Source organism: Homo sapiens, chromosome 2 (genome assembly GCF_000001405.40).
Source record: "Homo sapiens chromosome 2, GRCh38.p14 Primary Assembly".
Lineage (NCBI taxonomy): Eukaryota > Metazoa > Chordata > Mammalia > Primates > Hominidae > Homo > Homo sapiens.
Window position 1 is genome coordinate 237,028,603 of NC_000002.12, and position 8,071 is coordinate 237,036,673.

General features: G+C 47.8%; 1 long non-coding RNA gene across 8 annotated transcripts in view; it reads right to left on the reverse strand.

Annotated features, from left to right (window-relative positions):
• The window catches only part of COPS8-DT (COPS8 divergent transcript), a 175,051-nt gene that overhangs the window by 117,832 nt on the left and 49,148 nt on the right, over positions 1 to 8,071 (reverse strand). The gene's annotated exons all lie outside the window — the stretch shown is intronic.

The window sequence follows — 8,071 nt, forward strand, 5'->3', positions numbered from 1 at the left end:
TGAAAACTTCTACATATAATTTGTGGAGTTTTATGACAGTCAGTATTCCCTGTACCTCAGACTAAGAAGCCCTTAAGAACCTGGCTCTTTTTTTTTTTTTTTTGAGATGGAGTCTCACTCTGTTGCCCAGGATGGAGTGCAGTCACATGATCTTGGCTCACTGCAACTCCTGCCTCCTGGGTTCAAGTGATTTTCCTGCCTTAGCCTCTTGAGTAGCTGGGATTATAGGTGTGCACCACCACATCTGGCTAATTTGTGTATTTTTGGTAGAGATGGGGTTTCACTGTGTTGGCCAGGCTGGTCTTGAACTCCTGGCCTCAAGTGATCTGCCCACTTCTGCATCCCAAACTGCTGGGATTATAGGCGTGAGCCGCCGTGCCTGGCCGAAACCCTGATCTTCTGAACAGACTCAAGGACAAAGCAGATACGTGGCAAATTTCAGCTGTATATCACAGAGTTCTACGCCCGTTTCTGCAGCCTTTGAAGGAAGGCCATGGCGACGCCTTGTAACATCGGTCTCACCCCCACTTCACCCCACCCCACTCCTTTCCCTGAAGTAAACCCTCCTCCCTGTCCAAGCCAAGCTCCAGCGCTCACCCATCCTCTGGGCCCTCATGGCATTTTGTTGACACTCCGGTTAAAGCCTTGCTTCCTTGTCTACCTGGGTCTCTCCCCTAGGAAAATGTGAGTCCCTCGACAGCATAGGAACAACACCTTGTCCCTTGCACTTCCCACTGCCTGGCAGCCCAGAGATGCTTAGTAAATACCACTTGTGCCAATGGATGCTTAAATGGCTCAGGCACCAATTTTGATTGTTTCGTAATTCTCCAATGTGATTAAAAGTCATTTGCTGCTTCAAAACTCAGAGCAAAAGTTATTTTACAAAGGCCTGTTAAAATGACACAGTGGTGCATGGTCTAATGAGTCCTTGCACCCCAATGTGAAGCACCCCAATGCTCTGAAAGCTTGCTAAAGCTCTTCTTCTGAAAGCCAACTGTGTCCGCTTCTCATGGTAAAGTTTTACAGTAGACTTTGGCATAAGGTAATTCCATCCTACGGGACCCGAGCCAAGATGTAAGCCCCTGGTTTAAGGTTATATCTCCTTTGTGCACTTAAAAATGTGTTAAGAGAATAGATCACATGCTTAGTGCTCTTAACACAGTAAAAAATGGGGAGACACAAAGAAATTTGTGGAGGCAATAGGTACATTTATTATCTTGATTGTGGTGATGGTCTCAATGGATATGAACATATCAAACTCCTCGAACTGTGTACATTAAATAAGTGCAGGTTTGTATATTAATTTTAAAAACAGCTCAATAAAGCTGTTTTTTAAACAGGTATTTCTTATATAGGCAGGGCCTGGGGTTAATGGAGGCAGGGGCGCTGGGATGTGCTGGGAGGGAGGAGGGAACAGGAAAGGCTGGGAGAACAGGAGGCCCTGAGAGGACCTAGGGGATTTGAGGGTGAGGGAGGGAGCTGGGGGGCGCGGGGTGCATGGTGAGCCCAGAGTCCATAGTTTAAGGTGCAGAATTTAGACTAGCCATTATCAGGTAAAAGTATGTCACAGGTGGTCAAAAAGGTAATAACATCTAAGAAGTAGACATGCTATTCAATAACCAAGTTTTCTGAAGACTTCATCAGGTATCTTGAAACCCAGGAAAAGGAGGCATGCCAGCCTTCAGCATGGAGGAAAACAAAGTGGCATTTGGGATGTGCTGAAAAGGCGTGGGGACACTCAGGTCCCCATCTGGGCCAGTCCAGGGAGGGCCCTTTGGGGGGCTGTCCTGGTCAAAACAATACAGCAATCCCAAACTCAAGCCGGTGCAGGAGGGCACGAGGCTCAGGGTCCGGAGTGGCTGACCCCTCAGTGGAGCAGGTAGTGCCAGGTACCCAGCCAGGAGGTTGTTGCCGCAGGGCTCCCCAGGGGCAGTCAGACACCCAAGAAGCAGGGCTGGGCTGGCTCAGTGCTTTCTTCAAGGTCCGCTTCGAGGTGATGGAGGCCTGGCAGCAGCCCATGGCCCCAAGCGGGGCTCCCAGGGAAGTGGCTGCAGGAGCTGGGCAGGGTCCCAGGCCCGAAGAGAAGGCCAGCCCTCACCCTGGGCCCACAGAGAAGGCCAGCCCTCACCCTAGGCCACAGAGAAGGCCAGCCCACACCCTGGGCCCACAGAGAAGGCCAGCCCTCACCCTAGGCCACAGAGAAGGCCAGCCCACACCCTGGGCCCACAGAGAAGGCCAGCCCTCACCCTAGGCCACAGAGAAGGCCAGCCCACACCCTGGGCCCACAGAGAAGGCCAGCCCTCACCCTAGGCCACAGAGAAGGCCAGCCCACACCCTGGGCCCACAGAGAAGGCCAGCCCTCACCCTAGGCCACAGAGAAGGCCAGCCCACACCCTGGGCCCACAGAGAAGGCCAGCCCTCACCCTAGGCCACAGAGAAGGCCAGCCCACACCCTGGGCCCACAGAGAAGGCCAGCCCACACCCTGGGCCCACAGAGAAGGCCAGCCCTCACCCTAGGCCACAGAGAAGGCCAGCCCACACCCTGGGCACACAGAGAAGGCCAGCTCCTCACCCTGGGCCCACAGAGAAGGCCAGCTCCTCATCCTAGGCCCACAGAGAAGGCTGGCTCCTCACCCTAGGCCACAGAGAAGGCCAGCTCCTCACCCTAGGCCCACAGAGAAGGCCAGCCCTCACCCTAGGCCACAGAGAAGGCCAGCCCTCACCCTGGGCCCACAGAGAAGGCTGGCTCCTCACCCTAGGCCACAGAGAAGGCCGGCTCCTCACCCTAGGCCCACAGAGATGGCTGCAGTATTGCAGGGAGACCCAAGCAAAGCCATCCCTGTGGCAGAGATGCTGACATTAACAACAAAGGCAGGAACTGAGACCCAGGTGGCACTCACTCATGTGGCACTCATTCCTGTGGCACTCACTCCCATGTCACTCACTCATGTGGCATTCACTCATGTGGCACTCTTGTGAGCCAGGTAGTCTTCTCCATGCTGGGCATATGATGACACATTGAACTCCTAACAATCCTGTGAGGGAAGTGCGAATAGCATCAAACCCCTCGCACAGATGAGGAGACTGTAGCAGTGAGAGATGAAGTAACTTGCCAGGCTAGCGTTCGTGGAGTTGGAATTTAAACTCGAGCAGCGTGGCTCCTGGGCTCATTCTCTTAACCCCTATGCTGTATTTTCTCATGGTATGGGGAAAGAGGAAGGAGGGAGGGAGTCAAAAGCCAGAGGCTGAGCCTGGGTTTAATTCGCTGGCAGGGCCCCCTCACACACACACCGCCAGCAGGGGAGGTGGCTCTTGTTCCATGTCCTGGCCCCAGGGCAGCAGTCCCGTGGATGGATTCTGGGCTGGGAAAAGGAGATGCAGGAGTTGCTGGAGGTATGTCTATGACTCTGTAAAGGGATGGTCTGAATTCCCTCCCAGACAGAGTGAAAGTCTCGCTGTGTGAGTGCCATGGACACAGCATGTGCACCCCTCCAGCCCAAGTGGTGTTATTGAAACAAAGGTCAGATCGTTTCCTATTTAAAAGCTTCTCCTGGCTCCCCATGTCACTCAGAAAGCTTGTTACCATGGCCCAGAGACCCCTCTGACCCCACGTTCTAACTCACCTCCCTCCACTCCCCTCACTCTGCTCCATCCTGTGGGCCCCCGAGCTCCCAGCTCAGGGCCTTTGCACATGGCGCAGCCCCTTCCTGAAACTCCCCTCCCTTGCAGAGCTGCATGGCTTACTCCTTTACTCAACACAGGTCTCTCCTCAAATGCCACCTTCTCAGGAGGTGCCTAGGACCAGCCTGTGCCAAGTCACCTTCTCCTTGCTCTGCTTCCTTTCTCCATGCACCAATGCCATGTGGAGTGCACACACTACATACAACACCTTGAGGGGTCCACACACAACACTGTGTCAGTTATACACACAACACCAGGTGGAGTCTACACACAACACTATATGGGGTATACACACAACACCATGTGGGGTCTACACACAACACCAGGTGGAGTCTACACACAACACCATGTGGAGTCTACACACAACACCATGTGGAGTCTACACACAACACTATATGGGGTATACACACAACACTGTGTGGGGTCTACACAGAACACCATATATAGTCTACACACAATACCATGTGGAGTCCACACACAACACTATATGGGGTATACACACAACACCATGTGGGGTCTACACACACCACCATGTGGGGTCTACACATGATGCCATGTGAAGTCTACACACAGCATGATGTGGAATCTACACTAACTTGTTTATTTGCTTGCTGTATATCCGCATCCCCCCCACACATCACTAGAACTTAGGTGGCACGAGGGCAGGAACTTGGATGTGTTCACTGCTGTAACCCCAAATGACTGCTGAATGAATGGAATGAATGAACACAAAGCGTCCTCCCCAGCTGCACATCTAAAGCAGGAGGAGCCCCTCTCAGTTGGCCCCTGGGGTGCCTGTATTGAGTTTCTCTCTGTGGATGCCAACCATACATGGCTGATGACGCTCCTGACAAAGCCCAGTGGAGGTTTTGGTTGCCTATTTCCCCTCTTTTTTAAGCTCTGTACCAAAATTGATTCAGATCATCAGATACAGGCACCCTGTTCCTACTTTGTTAACTTTTCTCCAAAACACTTCATAGAACCCTGAGTCAACATCCTAGCTACGGCTCCTATGGAAGTTCAAAGCAAGAAACAAAATTATGTCCACTTTTAGAATAATTATGTGAACTTTTTGTTCTTAGTAAACTGCTATAAGCTTAAAATGCATCAGCTTTCCCAAGCTTCCTATCTGGCCTGCTTACTGTGTAATTGCCATTTTTAATGGTAACATATTTTAACTGTATCACATCACTCTAGTAGAAGAGATTTGCAGCAATATTTACTTCTTTGGTCATATTGTTATCATGATGAATAAACGGGTATGGTAACATCAGAAGATTAAATTCTCTCTCTTAATGGAAAATTAACTCTGAAACCAGACATTCTAGAATTTCTGTTTCCTGGAGCAATGGTTCCTGATTTGTGGGCAGCAGAGCCCTGGGGGACACTCCAAGCCCCATCCTTCTTCAAGGAGTCTCGCAGTCATTGTAGGCGCCAAGTGCCTCCTGCATACTAACTAACAGTCTTGTGCACCAAGGCTTGACTGTCATGTAAATGTGTCCTCACAGGACTTTGAGATCAACAAGTTATGACCTCACATATGCTTTTGACAGTAGGTATTTTTCAATCAAACTGCACCTATTATCATGCAGAAGGCTCTCAAATAGCTAACCTCAAAGGGATCTGTGTGCTCTATAAAATTTAGAACAGCTTCTCCATAATTTGGAGTCTTTAGGAGAATACAATATATTCTAATGGAGATATTTATCATCAGAAGTTTACAAAGACATATGAAACAAAAGCTCAGTTGCAAGACATTAAGAGACAGTGCAAATAGCAAGCAATTAACTAGGAATTTTCTTTGGTCAAGTTTCTTCCCTGATATGAAACTCACTTCATGTTTAGCTTCCCCTGTTCTAAAAATCCAGCAACACTACAATAAGTTCACTCTCTGCATTCACTTCATACTATGTTCCTAATGCTGCACTGGCAACTTTGCTGCTCACTTTTAATTAAAGCACAAGGGTTGTGGGAAAAACGACTTCTGCAGGCATTGTAATCACTCTGAGGGACTGCTTTATCTGTCCTCTAACTCTCTATGTTGGCCTCTGAATAAAGCTGCCCTCAAATGGGTGGACAGTCAAGTACTCTTCATGGGGGTCTTAGTTCTAGAAGGCACAGAGATGACGTATGTGGGAATTCCAAACACAGGCAGGAAGAGGGAAAACACATGGAAGTGATTTTAGTGCCTAATTTTGGCTATCTCTATACAAGTATGACAAGATCGAACACATCTGAAAGAAGGAATCGGCACTGACATTTTATATCAACTCATTTAAGAGCATTGCTAAATTCATCGCAACCTTTGATATTCAAGACCCATAAATATCAAGACGTGTGCGTGTGTCTATGTGCATGTGTGTGTGTTACAGATACAGACCTCACCATTTCACCATTTGTGCATTGCTGCAACTCTGTCGAGCTTGGTTTCAGCCTTATATAACCCTGGTGGGAAAACTCAACTAGAGTGAGGCAGTGGCTTCTCCACCAGGGTGTGACAGTGGAGAACCAAACAGATAGGTAGAAGTATGGACCCAGCCCCTCCCCTTTTCTCAATACAGGCCATTTTCATCAGTCTATCTAATTTGTTTATGCCTTTATCCATGTATTTAGGTGTGTACAAAAGTTGGGCTGCTAAAGAAGTTTGAAATCCACTGCCCTCATCTACATTTTCACTGATGCATAAATAAATTGCTTTATTTGAGTCAAAATGCATTTATTTTGTGAGGGATTAAAAGGCCAACTATATTGCAATTAATTCTAGAGCCTATTTTTGTTTTAAGAATGAACTAATGGGGACCTATACATGTTGCAGCCATCCAGGTTTTTTTTTTTTTTTTTTTTTTAAGCAATTAAAGCAGCAACACAAATCCCTTGGTGTCCTGGAGAAGATGGGGTGGGTCAGAGGAGAAGCAGCACAGGTGGTAGAATCCAGGGACCTGGCCCCACCCAAGTCCTCACCCTAGTACACTACCCCAGTGGCCCTGAGCAAGCATTTGATCACTGCCATTATGTCTGCTGTGCTGGGGGTGGAGGAAATGGGAATGATATCGTCAGTACTCCCAATGCTAAAGGATGGTTGAGAGGATCAGCCTGATCTACAAGCTTGTTTTCAATTAATATTTTCAAATATAAGTTTGGGAGGGGAAAAACATTCAAGCCAAAGCATAGGATATACCTGTTTAATGAGAAATACATAATGAGAACATTAGGATGATCACAAGAGGGGCTTCATATGGGGTCTAAAACAGAATTAAATTCTAGCAAGCTAAAGATTGTTTCCGGACGGGCATGGTGGCTCACGCCTGTAATCCCAATACTTTGGGAGGCTAAGACAGGTGGATCACTTGAGGCTAGGAGTTTGAGACCAGCCTGGGACACCTGGTGAAACCCCAACTCTACTAAAAATACAAAAATTAGCTGGGCGTGGTGGCACATGTCTGTAATCCCAGCCACTCAGGAGGCTGAGGCACGGGAATCACTTGTACCCGGGAAGCGGAGGCTGCAGTGAGCCGAGATGGCGCCACTACACTCCAGCCTGGACGACAGAGCAAGACCCTGTCTTGAAAAAAAACCCTGAAATATAAAAAGTGAAAGATTGTTTTCCTAAGGAAATCAAAAAGAAACAGTCATGGGGTTATGTTGCTAGGAAAGGAGGAAAGTGAAGGCAATTTGTCACCCTGAGAAAGAATGGACTTCTGCTTGACATCTCTAGCTCTGTTTTTCCTTTGTTCTTTTAAATAAATAAACAAAACATAAAGAGAGGAAAGCCCAGAATTCCAAAATAATTTAGCATAAGCAAAGGGAGACAGACTCCAGAGAGACCCACAGTCGGCTTCCCAGCCGGCCCTCCGAGCTTGTTCTCAACTTTTCCTGATACCTCCGCCCTGCCCTGCTGCCCCCACAGCTCTTTCTGCAAAGTGTCAGGGACTCCACCCTCGGGAGGGTCTCACTTTCCACATGAGCGGCTCCTCTTCGCATGTTTCCTAATTGGACCTATTTAAATCAGGAATCCACTGCCTTGTGCAATTAGGCATCTAATAATTGTTCAAAGTTGATGGTAATTTTTATAAGTTTGCCAAGGTCATTTAAGCCTAATGAACTTGAGTTCAATCCAAACTCTAAGTAATGGCTCATTTACAGTTTGGATGTGTTCAGTATACAGTAAGTTGGTTTTTTCTCTAACTGCACTGGTTTGCTAAGATATTTCTGACAATAATTTTTTAGTAATGCCCTTTGTGGAGTAATGAGATTCTGAGACCATGGCCTTTAAGATACTTGGGTAAGGTTTACTTATGTAACTGTATTGTATCCTCCGTACAAGCCTTTTTATCCCTTATTTTTTTTCTCATTGTTTTTTCTCATTGTTTCCTTAGAATATTCATTTTTT